Genomic DNA, 22,247 nt, shown 5'->3' with positions numbered 1-22,247 from the left:
GTTTCTAGTTTATAATTTTTACTACTCTAGAACTTTAAAAGTAAAAATTTATTTTAAAATTTATCGTATACATTGTTAGAGTACAAAGTAAAACCTGTTTATCTAGAGGAATGTAGAGAGAATTGTGCAATATACGAATTTGCTTTCAAAGGGGCAGAAATTATCTTAGTGTGGAAAAGAAAAGCAAAGAATTTGCCAAGGAAATACACACTATAGAGACCGATCCTAGCTCAGCCTTAACTTACAGTAATTTATTTCTGTAGAATGTAAAGATTTTTTATCTCAGGTTGCTGTGAAGATGAAGTGTAATGATACATATCAAAATGCTCTAGAAAATCGTCATTACTGTAGAAATATTTGCTACAATTCTCTCTAAGCAAGCTTCTTAAAGTTGATATATTACCATGCAAACATTTCCCTTAGTGTTTCATTATTTTTATTTATATTTCTATTTTTACCATCTAATTACTTTTCAACATTTAATATTCATGAACGTCAAGAATATTCTATATCATCTTCTGCTTTTATTATATAGATTGTACACAGTGAATTACATAGCATGATGAAGTCATTAACTTCATTAACTAGAAAAGTGGTTGAGGTTCAAAATACAGATAATTTGCAAGGAGAAGGAGGAAGAACTAGTAAAGGTAAATTGCTTTTCCTTGCCAGTTTGAAAGATTTAATTCAGACTTTCTAGAAAGCTTAAAGAATTAAATAATTTAATTACTTTGAATTTTTACAGCCAAGATGAGTAATTCCATCAATATGGTAGGATTATATAAGAATTTGGCATGAACCAAATATAAAATATAAAAGTACAGTGATATAGCGTTACTGAAGAAATTGCTAACTTCTGGGACAGTGCTAACATTTGGTGCACAATTACAAGAATGTATATCTTATTTTCAAAAGATCATCTTTTTGTTGTTGTTTTACAATTTTCTTTCCGACTCCCACAGACACATGGGAATTTGTCACAAAAACTCTTAGGAGCCATCAGTAGGCAGGATAAATTGAGTAATGCCCCAAAAGATGGGAATACAGCATTATGGCCGAGAAAGAGTGCTAGTTTCAAGAGGTGTACGATGTGTGAAAATAACATTTTCTGTTTGTTTTTTATGAAAATGAACATATAAATGGGAAACACAAGCCTGCTTGCCATTTGGATATAAATTCTAACATTGTTGAACATGAGATTTGTATACTAAAATGAAAAGGGTGATGAAATAGTGCACATTGCAAGCAAGAGGTATGTAGAAAAGAAATCACACAAAATACCTGTCAACTTCCTTTTCTCACCACTGTTTTTTAGCAGTCATAAATACTGAAAATATACTTTTGGACACATAATTGTACATACTTATGTGATACAATGTGATGTTTTGCTACATGTATACTGTGTAATGATCAAATCATAGTAATTATTATATTCACCACCTAAATGTTTATAATTTATTTGTTGTGAGAGCAGTCAAAATTCTTTCTTCTAGCCATTTGAAATATACAGTGCATTATTGTTAGCTATAGTTTCCCTATTTTTAAACAGGAAACATACTTTTTAAATCTTTCACTATCCACATACCACAATTTATAAATTAACATGGCAAACTATTTGATGAAAAAATTTGTGTTTCCATTCCTAAGTTACTGATATTGGTCATGTTTAATGGAAAATCATGAAGTCCCAATTCCTGAAATCTGTTTAAATGTAAATATTTAAACTTGACTTGTCTGTGGCCCTGCAATGCTGAGAGGATGGCCCAATGCCTTTTATAAACTCATAGACTATTTCAGGTCGAGATGCAAAGACAAAGGGAGTGATGCTGACGTTACTATTTCCTATCTTATCCCAGGTAGTGTGTAGCATTTTACAGATAATTAATATGAACAAGAAAAACAGAAGAAAATACAACATGATAGATATTAGGAATATTTAAGGGACAAAACAATTGTATGAGGGAAAAGGAAGCAATGTATTTCAGGAAGATTTTATTTTGTTTTGTTTTTAGTAAGCTCAAGGTTATGAGAGGGTTGAAAACCAAAAGAAAGACTTAAATCACAGCAAGATGGATTTAAATTAGCCCTAGAGGGGGAAAGAGAGGACAACCTTAAATGACTGATGGCCTTGCTAGAAAGTATTCCAGGGGCTTTTCCTGATGTTCTCTCCTCCTCTTCCACTTGGACTTCCTCTGCCTACCACAGTCTGGTTGTTTCGTCTACTCCTACTGTCTTGTTTTAATTGATAATAATAATTTCCTTCATTTCTTACAGTTATGTCATCTTAAGAAAATCTTTTAACCTCTTAGAGCATCAGATTCCTTATCCACAAACGTAGATAACAGACTGTTGCATAGCCTTGTTGATAGCAGCATGCAAAGCACACAGTATGTTGCCTGGTGTGTTTACTGGTGCATAATTCATTAAGTGTTTGCAAATCATTGTGTATTTAGTATTGTTGTTCTTATTCTTATTGTTAAACAGAACACTAAGTCAATATCCAAATTAAAAAAATAACAGTAATAGTCCTTATCACTAAGCTCTCTGAGGAAAAAGAGATGTATAATTTTTCCTTAAGTCTATGTCGTTAGCTGCATCTCTTTGTACATTTTCATCCAACTCTATATCTGGATCTGGATCTATTTTTATGTATCTAAACTATTACTGTGAATTCATTCATTCAAAAAGAATTGTCTAAATTTTCTGTGTCAGGCAGAGTGCTAATTATTGAAGATGCGAATGAAAGATGGTTTGTAACCTTAAGGTATTTACAATGTAGAATGAGGAAATAACTGTGTTAATAAATAGGTTCTATAAAATATGGACATTTATAAGATGAAAATCTAAAGAACTTACAGTGTGGATAGCAGAAAAATGGTCAACTCTACATGAATATGGGAGTAAATGGCAATTAGTAAAAGCTACCCAAAAGAAATGAGTTTGATTCAAGCACACAAAACTTGGCAGTCAAAATTTAACGCAGGTATTTTTTTTTCCTGAAGATCCTAAATACAAGGTACCCTGAAATGATAAGGTACAGCAAAAATTGGAGGGTTTGAATTAGGGTACCTACTTGGATCATTTTTAACTTTATATCATAATTGGATGTCAAAAGATTTCTATTCTAGCATCTTTAGTACAAATAATCCAGGTACAGGTAATCATTTAGTTTTAAATGTAATAGTACAGATAGTATCAAGTGGGAAATGGTTTATTTTCTCCTAGGGCCAGGAAAAGGGCTAAGGTGACATTTAAGGTAGGCTTTAAATATCTGCAGTACAGGTGAAGGCTGTTCTGTGAAAGGGGAAGAAGGGACCAGTGCTGTGTCAGTTAGGAGAGGAAGAAGGTTAACTACCTTGTGAAAGCCTTATGTAATGTTGAACTTGAACTTTATTTGGTAAAAGCAAGACTTCATTGCAAGATTTTATTTCATTTTGCTTTTAAAGACTAGAGGTGATGAAATATTTCCAGTTTTCTAAAATGGAGAGGGGTCGGGTGCTGTGGCTCATGCCTGTAATCCTGGCACTTTAGGAGGTTGAGGCGGGAGGATAGCTTGAGCTCAGGAGTTCAAGACCAACCTGGGCAACATGTTGAGACCCCATGTCTACAAAAATTTTTTTTTTAATTTAGCTGGGCATACACCTATAGTCCCAACTACTCGGGAGGCTGAGGTGGGAGGATCACTTGAGTCTGGGAGGTTGAGGCTGCATTGAGCCATGATTATGCCACTGCCCTTCACCCTGGGTGACAGAGCAAGACCCTGTCTCAAAACATAAATAAATAAAATAAAATGGAGAGGGAAAAGAGTGGAGGAATGAAAGCTAGGAATCAACTGCAACCTTCTAATTGTATGATAATGAAGGCTTGAAATAATATCTTAGGGATGAAAGGAAAAAAAAATAACTGGAAGTGGAAGCTAAAAAAGAAGAAATAATGAAGGTTGACTTTATACCTCTAACTTAAGTGACCAGGCAGCAAATATTTCAGGAAGAAGCAATTTGGGGTAGAAAGTTAACTCTAGTGGAATGGCTATTATACAACAGGCCCTGTGGTAGTGATTTATATATGGCTTCTAAGACAGTCCCACAAATTATCTAATCTAGAATGTAGAGAATAATTTTCACATTTTAGAGTTGAGGACATTACAGTCCAGGCCACACAACCAGCAGAGATTCCGATCCAGGCCACTGACTTCAAACTTTTTTTTTTTTTTCCTGTAATAGTAAACTAATTATTTTACCACTCTTAATAAAAATAATACAAGTTTAAACTTGAATAAAATGCCAAGTTCAGGAAGAACTAACTGGAGATCGTTGAAACGGGGAGCGAGATCTGATTTTCAGCATGAGCCCTGAGATGTGCCTAAGTCTGCATTATGGTGCTGCTGTGAAAGAAGCCAAATCCATTGTGTAATAAGATACATTCTCTCTTCTAATGTGCATCACCTTGCTCTTTTTGCCTTGTTTTGTATACCTCTGGGTTTTCACATTTTTAAAAATGCAAGAAAAGAAACCTCAGTTCTGAATAGTCACAAAAATAGTTGAAGTCTGGATAACTGGGTTTTCTCAGGAAATGGCTAAAGAATTTGTGTTTAGCTTTCAGAAGTAGCAGCTGGGGAGTGATCTATTAATTGTTTTCAAACCCTTTGATGGTTGCTAGGTGAAATTTGTATGAACAGTGGTTTCCCATGTCTGAGGAAGCAAAAATATAAAAAAAGAAATGGGCCTCCTACTGTCTAGCATAGCTTAGACAAGCTCTTGCCTTAATACTGGATTAGATGATCCTTTTGAGATCCCTTCCAGCTATACTTTAAAACGCTTAGACTATAGAATTGATAGAATAAAGTTATGTCATTTCTTAGCAGCAATTTGTATATTTTATATAAACGGAAGATTTTTGGATAGGTTATACTTTTCTTTTGCCAATATCTGGGAGGCTTGGTATATATTTGTAAACACACAAAATGCAATTCAAGAAGGTTGCATAAAATGAAAAACATTTATCACCAGAAGACATTTTTTATATATGGTATTTGCCTCTACATAGTATAAACAAATTCTCTTTTGGATGAAAAGGGAAAGCACTTAAGGTAATTGCATTTACATAGCACACTCAGTTAAGACAACTGGATATTTCATGCTATTAATATTGGTGTCTTGTTTTGTTTAAACTGATTTTATTTTACATTAAAATATGATTACCATTAGTAGTTTTATTTTCAAGATGAATTAATTAATACAGGTTGTGAGTGCAAAGTCTTTTTGTATTTTCTTTAGTCATTAATTCAACAAGTATGAAATAGTTGTTTTATTCCAAGAAATAATATTACAAATGAATGTATTTTTAAAATCCAGACTTCACTTGTTTGGATGTGGCGTAAGGGAGGAGGAGAGTCATCTGCTTCTTGATATCCATGTGGTTTTGCCTTGAACCCCTCAATACTGTGGCCAGGGTAACCCCTAAACCTCTAACAGTCTCTACCAGTCCCAAGTGGAGAACAGGAATTGTGGCATAGGCTTATTATTGGAATGTTGCTTCAGTTCACATCACAAAATATCTGATATAAACTATTGTTTTTAGAATTTTCACCACTGAAAATCACTCACCTAAAGCATGTATGAGCTTGGCAGATTACATTGAACATTTCCGGGATCACAATACCATTTACTTTTGCTTTTCTTCTCACTAGCCTCTGCTCAAATCCCATGCAAGATTACACTTCAGAGTACTCAGCTCTCCTTCTTGTCTTATGCCAAGCAGATCATCCCTCTTCAATTTCATTTTCTTAATTCGAATGTCTTATCCCGTTAAGGGGCTAACAGAGAAGATTCACCCTTCTTTAGGCAGTTTTTTTTTATGAACAACAGAGATAAAAAGAAACCTGTTACATCTGCTTCTGTCAAAATTGAAATTCTTAATGAATGGTCATGCTCGAGTGGTCTTTGGAAGCTTCAAATGGCTGCTTCATCTTGAGAGCCAATCCTTATGTTCACACAACCTGTCAGATGAGGGAATTGGTCAGCCTCCACCTTCTTCCTAGCACCCCAACACCTTGCCTTTGAAAGAAAGAAAACAAAATTTCGTTCATTTTTTTCTTCTGCCACTGAACTGAAATCCATCCTTAATCTGTTATATTACTTACTACATACTTCATGCTTATATAAATTTAGGCATATTCACTTGAAGAGGTTTGTCTTCCCCAGCAATTACAAAGCCTAGGCCTATTTTTTTTAGGACTTTTTATCTGTCTATCAAAAGAATCCCATACATATCAGAATAAAGAAAATAATAGGTACAGATAATATGTTTTCTATGCTAACTTCTAAAAACTGTTCTATAGAAGAAAATGAGTTTACATTAGTAATGTTTATTATTCATTGTATTTATACACAATCCATTTCTAGGTTTTTAATAAATATTTTTCCCCTTTATGCCATTGTTGTTCAATATTCCTACTTACAATTTTATGGCATCCACATTTTTAAAACATCAAGGATTAAGGGAATATTTTATTTTTTCCAAAATGATGGACAATGGACTAGTTTATAGTTCCTACAAATTCAACTTCAACAGATGTGTAATGCAGGTGGAAAGCATCAAAACTTTATGATGTGCCTGCGTTTAGTTTTCATCTAATGTCTTGATTGCTTACGAGTTATTCATGTATGGTGTTAGAAAAACTTTGCAATGCCGTTTATTGAGTTGTTAATTAAGAATAAATTGTCACATTTTAAAGAGATGATAAAATATCCCTTTCTGATGAAATGGCAATTGCTTTTTCCCCCCTTGCTTTTGTTACACAAAATTGAGCTCTGAGATTTGAATGATTAGAAATTATCAGCCACAATTATGACGATGTTCTGATTTAACATTTTCCTCTTTGTGAGATAGTGGGAACTTGCTCATGCTTTTTAAAAATGTAAGTGCCGCTTCCATGTTTATATTATAAATGTCAGTCATGATTGATATTTGGAAATTACTTCATGAAAGGGTTTACATGAATGCAACATAATTGCATTTCTTTTTGCACCAACTGATTTTATTGCAATGTTTAATGGTTTGTTGCATACTTTACAGAATAATAAATTTAATTTTCTTGTATTATCCCATAAATAACCTGGAAATTTTTTAATTAAGGTAATCATAGTAGCTGTCTTAACCTTGCAAACATGTATTGCTTCATGGATTTAATAATTGGAATATTTATCTGGCTCAAGTCACAACAAATATATCATAAAATATCAATATGTGACTTGAGCCACATAAATGTGCCAATACTCAAATGTATATGTATAGTTTTCAAACTCTTTTCTCAGAAATGCATACTTTATGTTTGTTGGATAATGTTCTCTTTTTATTGTGTTCACTACCAAACTTTTGTATTTACATTTCTAGAGATGTCACTTTATAGTAGCCTCATTATTTTTTTTATCAGTTCATTTGACAATGATGTAAGTCCACATTGATTTTCAAATAAGGCAAAAACTTAAGCTTAAATATGAACCGCATTGGCACCCTTAATTATGATAGTTACATATAATTTGTATTGATATTTAGCTTTAAAGAGTTTTTGTTTTGCTTCATAACAATACCGAGACAACATACATATACACTTCAAAATTTTGACTAATAGCAAAAAAATAAAACTTCTCTTTGTAGAGTGCAGTACTTGAAAATATACAAAACATTCATCTGTAGAACGTGGAGAAACATTAACATAAATAGAATAGGCACAATTGAGATTGAGTATTTCACAATTAAAGTACATATCATTATTTTTTCTATTGCGTGATTCTTCATAACCGTTATAACTTAAATGGTGATGGTGGGCAGCTTTTTAAGAACAGGTTGTTTGCAAGGCACTTACAATCCAGGCATCCCAGATACGTCAATAAATGATCCTCCCTTAACATTCACAGTCCTTATTACCAGGATCCAAAGAAATAAAACAGCTTTGTAGAATCTGTAGATATTAAATCCATGAGTTTATTTGTTTTCATTTTATTAATTTTTGGATGGGTAGCTAACAACCACCAGAGCTTTTAATATCAATATAATAAAGAGAATCATATATGCATGTAATTTCCATGGGAAGCAGCCTATAGATATTGTTTTTCTTTATTTCCATTTTTTTAATGTATATATTTGTAATGGAACTGAGATGCACCATATGATAATGATGTATTCACAATTTATTCTGGCCTCCAAAGTTTTTTTCATTTCTTTTTTTTTTAACTATACTTAGAATGTTCTTCTCTCCTGTTAGATTTTTTAAAAACAATATGTACTGGTTTTCTTTTGGCATTTTTAATTTTTTGTATTTTTTTACAAAACTTTGACCCATTTGTAGTTTATTTTATAGGTTCAGCTTTATTTAATTTTTACTTCATGGCTTGCTAGCTAGCTGGATCAACAAAACAAAATTGTGTTTTCCCAAATTACTCGAAATGCTGTTTTATTATATGTTAATTTCCATATGTACTTGAATCTCTTCTCACTTTTGCTCTGTTCTATTGACCTATTGGTCTCTTTCTTCATTGCTAAAATTATTTACTTATATTTCAATATTTCTGTGATTATTATTTCTTGTATTACATTTTAATAACTCTTATGTTGTCAGGCACCACATTGCTATTTTCATTGCAGAGTTATTTTAACTACTCTTACCTGTTTGCCTGCCTTATGTGAACACATATTTTAGAAGCCTATCATATATGCATGTTTGTATATATAATTTTTACTATTAGAAAGATCACTTTATCCTGCTAACCACCCAATAAATGTTGACTATATATTTGAATAATATTCATTTTGAAGGAAGGTCAAGTCAATAAATTTCCAAGCCAAGATGTAAAGACAGGTATTTTGTCATTACCAAAAGACAAAACTCTTGTGCTAATATAAGACCCCATCTAATAAAAATAGCAGTGTCATTAGATTTTAAAGATGAATTCAGTGCAAATCACTGCAACTGACCATACCGTTAACCCCTTTATTAATCACAACTACCTATTCTAGAACACCGTTTTTAAAAGATGAATTTATTGATTCTTATAGTAGGGGGATAAAAATTAGGATTTGGGGGACATCCCAACTTTATTTGATAGGATTATGGCTAATTCCTCAAGTGTATTAGGATTGGAAACAATGAGGTTTTGGGCCACCGCTTTAAAATTGAACTTTGTAGATTATATCAAATTCTGAAAACTCTACTCAAGAAAGCAATTCTCACTCTCTTGAGAGCAGGGAATTATTATCAGAAAAGTCTAGCCTAATTTAGGGTCCATTTGCAAGAAAAAGTGGCTTTCCTGATAGGTATGTCTATTTGGATATATTTGGACTGACCTTGTCCATGTGGCGGAAAGCACTTAAGGAAACAGCAATTCCTTATTGTTATTACTCTCGGGGACTTAATTGTAAAACTAAAACAATAACAAACTCCTGTCCAATTTGGAACTAATTTACTGTTTTTTAAGATATATAGGTAAGGTACTCAATGCCCATCTGATGTTTTCATTACTTTATTTGGTATGAGTATTTCCTGGGAAATCTAATTTTATGTTTGCATTGCTAATGCATTTTATTCCAAGCTGTGTTTCGATTTTTCACACTGGCAAATTTTCACACAGCTATCTAAATTTCTTATTTACATGAATAACTATAGAATAAAGCCTAATAAAAATATTCCTGAGTACAGTATATTTCAGTGTATAGCAGAATAGGAAATAGCATTTATGAAAGAGCCACCAACTGAATTTAGAGAAAGGGAGGGTTGTGTTGTACATACCTAGGGGATGGTCACCAAGGTGACAACCTCTTGACCTTTCTTGGAGTTAATGGAACAATATTGCTTCACCTTCTCCATTTCTGCCAAATGTAATATGACCAATTTATTATTCATATATTCCTTTGAGATGAGGGCATTCACATTTTTATGTCTTTCAAACATTTGCCAAATGAATATACGCCAGTGATTTCTATGCATTTTTATCCAACTTTATAATAAAGACTGAAAACAACTAGAACAAGGGAATTCAAGTCACCCAGTTAATCGAAATTCATTGTTGAGGGCTTCCAGATTCTTTCTACTAACCTCTCACTCCTTGTGAAGGGATTTTATTGTGAGCGGTTAATATTTTATGGGAAGGCTGTCAGCTTCTTACAGAGCCCAAAGGAGTTATATATTTTTCTGACATATGATCATAATTCCCATCAGTATGTTTAATGTCAGCATCTGTAGGATTCCTTTGATTTTTAAGGAGGAAAAAAATAAAGCATTCCAGACTCATCAAATAAGAATAACTGTACATGCTTCAGGAAATTCTTATTAGTCTGGGTGAATGCTTGGGGACCAGAGGGACAGGTATGCAATGGATGCCTCTTAGTGCTTTGCTGGTTAACCTATTTTCCTCCACCTATTGAATTGTGCCAGGAATGAGAATTTTGAGGACTACTTTTGTGTACATGCTCACACACACACACACACACACACACACACACACAGAGTTTATGCTAGGGCAGAACTATATATATATATATATACATACACACATATACACACACACACATATATATATATAGGAATGTATATATATGCTACAGATCCTAGAGTATATTATCTAGAAATCATGAATTAAAAATAAAATGACCATTTTTAGTTAAAAACTCATAATGTTGAAAGTTGTGGAATGTGGATGATGGGTGTTTCTATAATTATTCTACTAAAAATAAAATCTCTAAAGAATACTATCTATGTCACAAAGCAAAGATCACAAAAGAATTTTGAAACATGTTCTTTACTCTGACAAGCTTTAAATCAACCAGGATCTAATCAGATTGTTTTGCTAAGTACCACTATTTTAAATTCTTTTTATTAGGGACCATGGGGGAAAAAAAGCATAAAAATGACTTCTGCAGGGAAAGATGAAGTTGGATTGATAATTAATCCTTGCTACAGACAGCAAAGGGTTTAATAATGAAAAATTATCACTAAGATGAGTGACTTTTTAACAAAATCGAATGAATCATTCAGTTTGGGTGTCAGGTAAACCCAGGTGGTAAACATAAACTAAATTCTTGATCTACTGATGGTTTTTGCTATTGGGAATGCAGATTTTGCCTGATTCAACTTTGGAGATGATCTTAACAAATGGTTTCTTCTAAAAAGCATGTGAAACATTAACTTATGCCAAACTTACTCCATCCACAGGTAGTTTCTTGGCCATCAATTGTCTCTGTTTTCTTAGAATCGGAGATTTAAAGAGAAATCTCATAAATGGTATATACATCCTAGATGGAATTTTGAAATATTAAGATCTAATTATAAAGTTGTGATGTGGCTAGGGAATCAATAAATTTGACAGGTTAATACAAAATAGAAATTTTACGGTATGTATTAGCTCTACATATGTATAGAACCTTTCATTTCATTCATTTAAAGTATTTAAAGGCCATATTTAACATAAGCTATAACTTTTGCACAGCAACATTATTTTTCTATGTAAAAGTCCTCATTTCCTGTTTGTCATTTGATAACATGTCTCATATTGTCAAGAAGAGTTTTAAATTATGAACACGTATTTTCTCATAAAGGTATTATGAGACAGTAGATTTGAAAGTTAAAAAATGGAACAACTTTCTAATTTTTTAAAATGTAAAACTTTAGATATTTGGGCATAATGTATTTCTTTGGCGTGCTTAAGATCTCTATTAAGCCGAAGTCAACGCCATAATTAAGATGTGAAAAACTAGTGATAATTCGATTATGAACAACAAAAGAAAGAAAATGCTGTCACAATTAATATTCTGACAATGCAACAAGACATGAAATGATTATGAAGAGACAAAATTTTCATTATTTGTAGACAATGTGATTATACACCAAGAAAACCCAAGAGAATCTGCTTAAAAACTTTTGGAATTAATGAGAAAATTTAGTTAAGCATTAGATGCAAGACATTGTAAGCCTGAATAATTAAAACAATTGATAGTAGCACAAAAATGGATAGTCTGATCATTATATTAATCCCCCAAATACGTGTTTAGCATGTTGATTTTGTATTAGCTTGCATTAAAAATTAACATGAGTAAAATAAGGAAAACCAAATTATTTCTTTTTAATTATCCTTTTGTAGGATCTTGGACACACAGAATTTATCTGATGATAATCTTCATTCACTCATATTAATGAACATTTACTATGTGCCAGGCACTCCCCTGGACATCTGAATGGCATCAATAAAAATAATCCTCAAAAGACTCTGTCCTTGTAATTTCATTAACTGCTTATGCAAAGCCCTTCTGATGTTTAATTTTGTTCCGTTATTTCCTCTTGTTTTTTAAATCTCAATCACATTGCCCTCCCTGCATGGGTATCCATTCTAATTTCTATACTGAAAATTCTTTTCATATATCTCTCATAAATTGCTTGTGTATATATAAATATAATGTTTTTGAAACCATGCACAGAGTTCATCTATATACATTTGGTGTTAATGTAACCAAATGGTATTGTTATAAAGATAATTATCTTTCTTATATTTTTCATTCTGTATTTTATTTTTAAGATGTATAGTTTTGGCTGCACTTCTCCTGGATAACATTCCATTATATGTCTATGCATATACCACATATTATTTATAGAGTCTCCTAGTGACAGACACCTAAGCTGAATCCAACATATTCTAACATTAACTCTGTTATGATGAGTAGTTTTCTATATATAGCATGCCCAGATGGTCTGTTTTGTTCACCTAAGACATACTTGGTTTATGCCTGTGTCCCAGCATAATATTTCATGTCCTCCCTTCACTCTCACTCAGTCTCTCAGAATTTCCAAGGGACTTCTCTGGAGTTTATACCAATGGTTGGAATTACACACCTATAGTATATACATAAAAAATACTGCGTTTCAGAATAGGTTTTCAGGTTTATCTTGGGTTCCTTTTTACCTAATTATCATAAACAATTGGTATTTATGTGTCATTTACTTTCTAATAGAAATATTTGATTGACATTGTAAGTTGCATTTTATTCTTACTAGTGAAGTAGATCATCTCTCTATATTCTCCTTACTCATTGTAGCTTCTCCTTTCATGTATTGGTTGTGTATGCACATTTCCTTATTAACTTAAAGTCTTTATTTTTCTATTTTGTAAATATTATATATAAAAATCAGCCCTCTGTTAGATTTAAAATATCACAAATATCTTTCCCAATTTGTCATTGATGTCATTATATTCAAAATCCTTAACTTAAATATTATCAGTTACTTTACCCTATTGCCACAAAAACATTTGCATCATTTTTTAAGGTTTCAAACCTTCACACATAGGTGGAAATTTGGAGCCTCTTTTTGTAACAGTATTAGAGAATTTCCTCTCTGTACTGAGTCATTTATTACTTGACATCATTTAGTAAATTAACATTTACATAATAATGCATTTAGATTTTTAATATCATCCCTACATCAAGTTGCCTTATATGTAGAAGTTGGTCTTAAGGCTTTTTATTCCATTGCACTATACTGTATGTTTTTCTGCATTTGTTGCACATATTTGTAAATATTATACAATGACTTGGTGTTATAATATCTGTTAGGAAAAAAATAATCAATTTTTGTTATTTTCCAAAGTTGTTTCAGCCAATTATAGACCTAGCTGCTTTCATGTCTTTTAAAAAAAATCAGTTGTCTAGATACAAAAAACTCTGCAAGGATTTTAAATGGAGTTGAATTGGATTTATAAATTGATTTGATGAGAATTTACATCTTTACAGTATGTAGCCATATCATCCATGAACAATGTATATCTTTCTACTTATTCAGCACTTCTTTTAAGTTCATTTATGATGGCCTTATGCAGTTATTGTTCGATTAATTCCTAGATAACATATATTTTGTTGTTATAGTAAATGGAATCTTATTTTCTATTACATCTTCTAATTGGTTTCGGGTGTGATTTTATTTTGTAATCTTGCAAACTTGCTGAGTTCTCTTATTAGTTCTAATGATTTTAAAATTTGTTCCCTTAGATTTTCTATGTAAGTGAACATATAATTTACAAAATGAAATGAAACAAAGAACAGTCATACCTCTTTCTGCTTAGCATTTAGGCCTCCTCTTTCTTTTCTTTACCTTATTTAGTAAGAGAGAACTCTTGAGTAGCATAGGAACATTGATGTTCATCAATCATCTTTGTCTTATTCTCAACCTTCAAAGAAACGCATCAGAAAATTTTTCTCCAAATGTAGCATTTCCTATAGAATTTTTTAAAAAACATTTTTCTAGTAAGAAAAATGCTGGTTTTAGATTTCTAAAGCTTTTATTTTTTTTATTAAAAGATATCGTTCACGATCCTATGTTTTTTGTGTCATTCCGGGTGAGAATGTGATGGATACTTTAGGTCATTAATATTTTATATTGATGGATTTTTCAGACATTAAATAATTCTTGAAGTAAATTGTATTTACTCACACTATATTGGTTTTAAAACGCTATTGGATTACTTAATATTATGCTAAGGATTTGTATAAATATGTTTTATAGTTAGTTATAAAACTAAATTATAATCATTTTCCAGTTCAAGGTTTACATGGTTTAGATTGAGGGAATAATAGCTCCCCACATTTTTTTATTTTTTAGAACAATTTATTTAATATAAAGATAACCTGTTCCAAAAATGTCGGTAAAACATATCTATACAATCTTGGGAATTTTGTGAAGTATCTGGGATAGTGCTTTCATTGCCATTTCAAAGTCTTTCATGATTAATGGTTTATTTACATTCCCAATTTCTTCTTTTTAATTTATCATATATATTTTCCCAGAAAGTTATCAATTTTAGCTACATATTTAAATGTAATAATGCCTACTTGGTTATTCTTTTATTAAATAAAATTTTTACAACATCTATAAAATTTCCTATTTTCCTTTCTGTATTTTTTAGTCTACTCATCTTTTTTCCTTGTTTGCAGAAATCTGTCTTTGCAAAGCTTGTGGTTTTGTTAATTATTTCTGTCCATTTTTACTCTTTACATCATTAACTTTTACCGTTATTGTCTTCTCCTATTTTCTCCTATTTTTCACATCTCTCAACTGTTCTCTCTCTCTCTCTCTTTAAATTTCCTTTTGGTACCTTCTGAGAGAGTTCTATGGCCTGAAGTTTCAGCTCATTATTTTTTCCTTCAGATTAATCTGTTCTGCTGTTCAACATATACAGTGACATTTTTATTTGTCATGATATTTTATATCCTTTCTCTTTTTAAAAAGTAATTGTTTTCTTTTCAGTATTTTCCAGTTCTCCTATATTCTTCTGACAATGTTTATAATGTTTCTTTTATATTCTTGTTATTTTTCTATGTTAGCTCTGCTTCTGCTGTTATAAGTAATGATATTGTCTTTCATTTTCAGTGTTTGCATTTCTCTAGTATCTCCCACTTTTTGCATTTAATGTCTCAGCTTTGGCTAGAAATGTCTACCCTCAGAGAGGTACAAAAGACTAGAGTCATTTTTATCCCTTCCATATGACTTAAGGTAAGAATGGGTGGCCTAAAGGAAGAATGCCTCAGACACTGCAGTCCCCCTAAACTTCTGTCTGCTTCCCTCCCTCTAGGAGGCTTCACAATTTTAAGCTGATATTTTCATATATATGAATCTACCTGAAGAGAGGAATAGCTATTATCTTGCGGAAAATTATTAAATTTAATGCATTTGCCTAAATAAACTGGAAACGTATTTGATATTTCCAAAAACCAGCATTTTTTTTCTATGAATTCTTCCATTTTTACCTCCAAGCAGTTTTTTATTCTTATTTAAACCTGATCCCATTTGCTTTTTGTTTTTAAACTAATATAACTGGTTTATTAAAAATTACTGCAGAGGTCTTTATGGGAAAAAAGACTGTGATATTACTTTGATAAATTCAGTCATTGTTTTCTATCTAAAAAATAACCTTGAAGCTGAAAGATTCTTAAAATACCTGTTAGTGAATTTTTTTTTTCCTGAAAATGAAGACCATAACAGTACTGAATTATTTACAGGAATCATTTGCCACCTATTAAGATTAGCTAATTTTCAGGTGATAAAATATATTTAAATATATTTAAATTGAATAAAAGAGATTAAGTTTTTGACAAGAGAAAAGTTCAAGAAGTTGAGAAAGTACCAAATAGGTATAAGGCAAACATGAAGAAATTTTGAAAATTCTAATCTCATTGGAATAAGAATATAGAAGTCTATATAATCATAGCATCTCAAATGCTTTTAGACAATGCTGTTTTGGGAATATGATTGAAATTGTCTAATAAGAAAATAATTGAATTATGTCAATATTTAGCACCTTAAATCATGATGTTTCAAATTTAACTATATAACTTTATAGTAGTTTGACACAATAATTTTCTCCTATGATATCTGAACTGATATATTTGAACACAAAATGTTCTAAGACAAAGAGGTTTCAGTGGATGTGAGTCTTCTTTTTATCATGCCCATTGTAATTTGGTAAGTAAAATTAGAATTGTTTTTAAGCTAGACATAAACAAGTTTGCTCGTTTATTTATCTGAAAATGCGTGTTGCCTATTTACCATATACTGACATTGTTCTAAGTGCTGGGTTAATATCAATGAAAAAACAAAAACTGCCACTCTGTCACTAGCATCATAGGTTAACAAAGTTATGTAAGATAGTTATGCAACAAAGTTATCTAACATAGTTATGTAACAAAGTTATGGAACATAGCTAGGTAACAAAGTTACTAATACTGTGAGTGATTTAATTTCCATTTTCATAGTAGCAAAAATGATAAAGAGTTCTGTAAAAACATATGGGATTAGCAATGAAATAAATTTACCCACTCTGGGTAGGCAGAGAATGCTTCCCTGAAAAAGCAAAATTTAACCTGTGCCTGAATGAGTAGAAGGTAAGTAGATGTTTGGCTAGGGGGCAGATAGAAAGATAAACTAGTTTTCTGACTCTCCTTATCCATACCCCTAACTGATGTATAGAATGAGGCCCAAATCTAAAGGAGGCCATCCTTTTTCTTTTCTTCCTAGTTCCAGTTCTTCATTGCTCATAGTGCAGTGTGAGAAGGGAAGGTGCAATTACATAGGATCTAAGGCAGTCTGCAATGAAGGAGTGAATGAAAGCCTTAGGATCCCCATTTGTATTGGTAGGTTTAAATTGTCATTCCTGCCGGCTGATGTTATGGTTCCCTGGGTAAAGCATTTGCTGGGTAAATGAGGTGAAGAGCATACACCATTGCCTGTGGTCTCTCCACTCATACTGACTGCCTCAGCAAGGAGGCCAGTGATTAAAAGGATGTAGAAATTTGCTGCTTCCAACCCTGAGAAGGCCCTGTGCAATAATTTGTAGCACAATGGAATATGCTTTGCCGTCTTGTTAAACTGTTATATTGGGAAATAATACCTGGTCCAGGCTGTCTCTATACCATCTCTGAAATGCATTTTAAGTTAATAATTATAAAAAGAGGAGTAGTCCATAGAGGAAATATTTTCTAATTGTATTATTGAGCTAGGCATACGTTTTTATCTGTAGGTTATTTTTAGTCATTCAAATAAAAGGTTTGCAATCAAGTAGAACATGGATGAGCTGTGCCCTCATGTTATATTCTCACTCGGGGCACAACTTAGATTGTGATCATGCATTTAATTAAAATGTAGAAATTAGCCTTGGCATTATCTTGTGTACAGTCTGGTTAAACAATTTCTAAAAGCTTTATCGGAATTACAGAGTGACCTGTTTAAATGGATGAAATTCAGGACAGCACCATTCTATAATAATGATGGATTATATGTAACCAACCCCTAACTTCCCAATGTGTTAAATGCTTGCTTCATTCCAGAACATTGTCCTATATAAATATTACTGCTCCAGCTTTGCCACAAAGGTTACTATCAATGATATTTCAAGTACATTTATAAATATAGCCAAAATATGTGCAAAAATATTCATTAGAGAAACAAAAAAGAACAGAAGAAACCCACTGGTTTAAGGAGCTTTTTCAAGAGATTTCTAGCTATATCTTCAATTGGACTAAAACTACTAAAAGGTCTCTAGGTTTCATTTTCCCTCTCAGTTTAAAAAAATAAATAGTTTTAATATTTGTTGCTGGTAAGCCACAGTATTAGTTTTTTAAATGATTTTCATTAGATATGAAATATTTCTGGGATTTTACTTGAAGTATTTATTTGAAGCATTTATTGTGAGATATTGTAACCCTCTAGCAAAATGTGATCAATACGACTGATCAGAATTAGTTGTGCACCAGGACTCTGAATTCTAAATGTATTTGACAGGTCATTAAAATCAGATATGTATGAAACTAAACAGGCAACATTACTTTGTAAAATATTTGATCTTTAATAAAAAGTACTGCTCTTTCCGATTGTTTCATTATCCATCCATTCATTCATCCATGTGTTATTTATTATTGATTTGCTGTGTGATAAAATATTTATTAACCACTTACAGTGTGACACATTTTATGAAGATGAACAAGTAGCTAATAATCATAATTGACACATTTAACACTATTTTGTGTCAGGAACTTTTAAAATCATTTTTTGTATAATACATTAAATCCAAAATTACCATGTAAAGCAGGCATTATAATTATCCCCATTTTTAGGTGAGGAACCAAGGGAAAGAGACATAAAATGACTTATTTAGATTTACCTATTTGAAAAGTAAGGTTCAAATCGTCTAGTTGAAAAGAGGTTAAGATTACTATCTAGCAAAACACTGACTAAGAACATTCCTAATCTTTAGGCTCTTCTTTCTCTGTGGTAGACAAATCTCAAATTTTACCTAAATTATATTACCTTTTAAATTAACCTAATAAGAAACACAAATATGTAAGTTGATAATTAGGGTTCACTGTAATTACATCTATCATAAGCAATTTCTAGAAGGATGGAAAGGATACAAAAACCAAAGTCAGAAATTTGTTTCAGAAAGTATGATCTCATTTGGCAAGGATTCTCTTCCACCAAAAAATGACAGTCGTCCAGTTAGCAACCAACTCTTACACATGGCATTAAAAATAAATCACAATTTTCAGATCTCTTTTTCTTAAGGGATACAAATGTCTTAGATTTAGATTTTCTACCCTGACTTTTTTTCTCACTCTTTAATACTTACTCTAGCTTGTAAAATATGTCCTGTCAAAAATGAGCATATATTAATATTGAAATGCAAATCATTAATTGTACTTACATTGGTTGTTTCACAAACATATCTTTATTATTGTGGCTTTTTATCTTAACACAGTGTAGTTATTATATGATGTAATATTTTCAGCAGGTAACCCTCTTGCTACCATTATATGAGGACCTGTCAATAACCCATATTGTTAAACCATTACTTCTAGACATCACCTACTAGCTGAACAGTTTGATAATCACTCACTGGCTTACACTGAAGGCTGAAGTTTTGGTTGTTGCTTAACTCTCTCTCACTTCGTGCCATGTAAAAATGTTCATCAACCCTGCTTTCAAGCCAAAGAATACAAAACAAACAGTATCTGGAAAGGCATTGATAGCAATGAAGCTACGATTACACACAGAGAATAAAACATCAGGGAGGAGTTGGGGAGGGAGGACATTTATTCAGATCCAGTAAACTCAGGCAACAAGCTCTTCTAATATGTAAGCATTATGAAGGAAAAATATATACTTTTTTCCATTTTAACACTCAATTTTGCAAATGTAAATACATCCATTATGTAACAAACGAGAATCTGGTGAGGGCTAAATTACTTATGTGTCATTTAGAAAGTTATGTTTTTAAAAATAAGGCAGTCACTTTTTCTATATCCACCAATTAAATAAATTCATGTTATTTTATTATGGAAATTATGATAATTTACATATGCTCACAAGAGTAACACTCAATAAGCCCTCTCCAATTTTAATTTAGGCATGCAATTACATCATTACTTATCCTTGGTTCAAGTAGAACTATTTTGAAGATTAAAAAATTTAAATAAAGAGCTAATTTTTAACAAACCTACATTAACCCAGATTCAATTGCTGAGAGACTGCTAAGCTACTTTGTTCCAGAAAGTATTGACTCTGAGGCCATATACCTCATAACTGGTAGAAATACTTCACTTGTGGTTGAAAAGCCAATTTATCTCTTAAAAACAAAGCACCACCACGGTTTTTTTTTTTTTCCCTAGATGCATGGAATTAGCATTTTCTTTAAAATAATGAATTTAGGTACTTATTATGAAATATGATTCTGTAAAGGAAGTCCATATTTGGATTGTAGTAGTGACTGGGTATAACAATTATTCTGAAACATTTCGTTACCTCCGCTGAGAGGTATATATCCAGTAAATCACTGGCCATCTTTCTCCTGTATTTTGTCTGGCAGTGCTAATTTACCACCTTCTAACCTATTATAGAATTCACTTATGTTATTTTGTATTTCTTTTCTCCCATGAGACCATTGATCTCTAGTTGCATAGCTTGTCAAGTGTCTAAAACAGTACTGGGCTGGAAGCGGATGCTCAATAAGCACTCCAAGGATGAAATTTGTTCTAATAATGCCGGGCGTGGTGGCTCTCACCTGTAATCCCAGCACTTTGGGAGGCCGAGGCGGGCGGATCACGAGGTCAGGAGACAGAGACCATCCTGGCTAACACGCAGAGTCTCTACTAAAAGTACAAAAAATTAGCTGGGCGTAGTGGCGGGTGCCTGCAGTCCCAGCTACTTGGGAAGCTGAGGCAGGAGAATGGCGTGAACCCGGGAGGCGGAAGTTGCAGTGAGCCGAGATGGCGCCACTGCACTCCAGCGTGGGCGACAGAGCGAGATTCCGTCTCAAAAAAAAAAAAAAAAAAAAAAAAGGAAATTTGTTCTAATACGATGACCTAATGACCTAGGGTTTCTATGGGTTTTCTTTTTCAAATATAACCTCAATTATACAAATTGGTATATAGTTGTTTCAGTTTTCAAATCTACCTTAATAACTCGTTCATATTTCTACATGATTAATTTGTATGAAAAGTATTCACTCATTAAATAAAAATCTTTGGCCAACTCTACCTGAGAGGACTAAAGGAAAACATGGCACAATATAAAAATGAGGAGTTCTTGCTAGAGGGCATTAAAAACTCATTCCAGGGCTATTAATTTTATTTTATTTTTCTTTAACAAATGCTGGGAAGACACATGTTTGTGGATTATTGTAATACTAAATTATTAATGCCTTTCATTAAGATACATTTTATTAGTTGTGGTTTGCAAGTAAACAATTGATCTGTGTTTTTTATTAGGGTAAATCTATTGTGATTTCTTGTTCAGTAAATTAGGCTGTTTGCTGAGTAGGATGAAGCAGTGTAATTATTTTTCATTACTTAGTATCTATAGAGTCTCATTCAGGTTCATTTCTCTTTCAGCAGTATCAGATAGATTTTCTTTACTTTCATAGGTCTTGCTAAAGTTGAAATACAACCTTCAGCACTTCAAGTGTCTCAGTATAGTCAAGAAAAGGAACCACCGCTTAAGCCTAACCACTGTTACAGCCTAACCGAGGGCACAAATGTACAAGCCTTGTTTACCAATTTATAGTGACTAGCCACAAGAGAAGATTCCCATATGAATCCAAAGTTTTGTTTTGTTTTTAATTTTAATCTAAATTAATTTGGAATGACATCTGATGGGAATCCTTCTTGTCTCAGTGTTTGGGTAGCATTTAAAATATGTAAGCATGCTCAATGGTGCATGTTTGTGTATATACATATGAAAAGTAAGATGCATGTGTTGGGAAACTTGTAATTCTGGCTTGATAAAAGCATTAGTTTATTGTCTTTGTTTGGCTAGTATTTCCACTATGTAAGGTACATGTGTAGCAGTAACACCTCACCATTTGGTTCTCTATAGCCTCTTCTCCCATGTAATCAAATGGTTCAGATATAGGAAACACAATTTTGGATGACAATAACCTACCTTGTTCTGCCAGAACACCTTTTAAATCCAGTAAGAAGAACATGAAGCACTCTTTAAGATTTAAGACATCTTTGTTAAAGTATAATATATACTGTACCTATCAATGTAAGCATATAAATTAAAAACAAACAAATGAAAACCATCAATGTCCTCTCCTTTTCCAAACTCAGGAGTCACAGCTCTAATTAATGGTTCAACAGTTCTCCTGAAGCAGACTGCTGGCCAGGTTACTCAGCTTCTTAACTTGACCTTAACCTGTAATAGGAAGCTACATCAT

The 22,247-nt window shown here is 32.3% G+C and overlaps 1 protein-coding gene and 1 long non-coding RNA gene across 5 annotated transcripts in view; one reads left to right on the top strand and one right to left on the bottom strand.

Moving 5' to 3' along the window:
• Positions 1–22,247, top strand: part of LRP1B (LDL receptor related protein 1B) — a 1,899,594-nt gene that overhangs the window by 269,891 nt on the left and 1,607,456 nt on the right. The window lies entirely within an intron of this gene.
• Positions 5,976–14,158, bottom strand: LOC105373648 (uncharacterized). 2 transcript variants are annotated; one of them, XR_923382.4, is made up of 4 exons: positions 14,092–14,158; positions 11,199–11,289; positions 9,788–9,867; positions 5,976–6,056 (listed from the first exon to the last, which is right to left on the bottom strand). It is a non-coding gene; the product is annotated as an uncharacterized LOC105373648 (long non-coding RNA). The 2 variants fall into 2 exon arrangements; XR_923383.4 differs by lacking the exons at positions 11,199–11,289; positions 14,092–14,158 and adding an exon at positions 10,094–10,166.

This window comes from Homo sapiens, chromosome 2, assembly GCF_000001405.40.
Source record: "Homo sapiens chromosome 2, GRCh38.p14 Primary Assembly".
Taxonomy (NCBI): Eukaryota; Metazoa; Chordata; class Mammalia; order Primates; family Hominidae; genus Homo; species Homo sapiens.
Note: the sequence above shows the minus strand (reverse complement) of the source record. Positions and strands in the feature narration are given on the sequence as shown.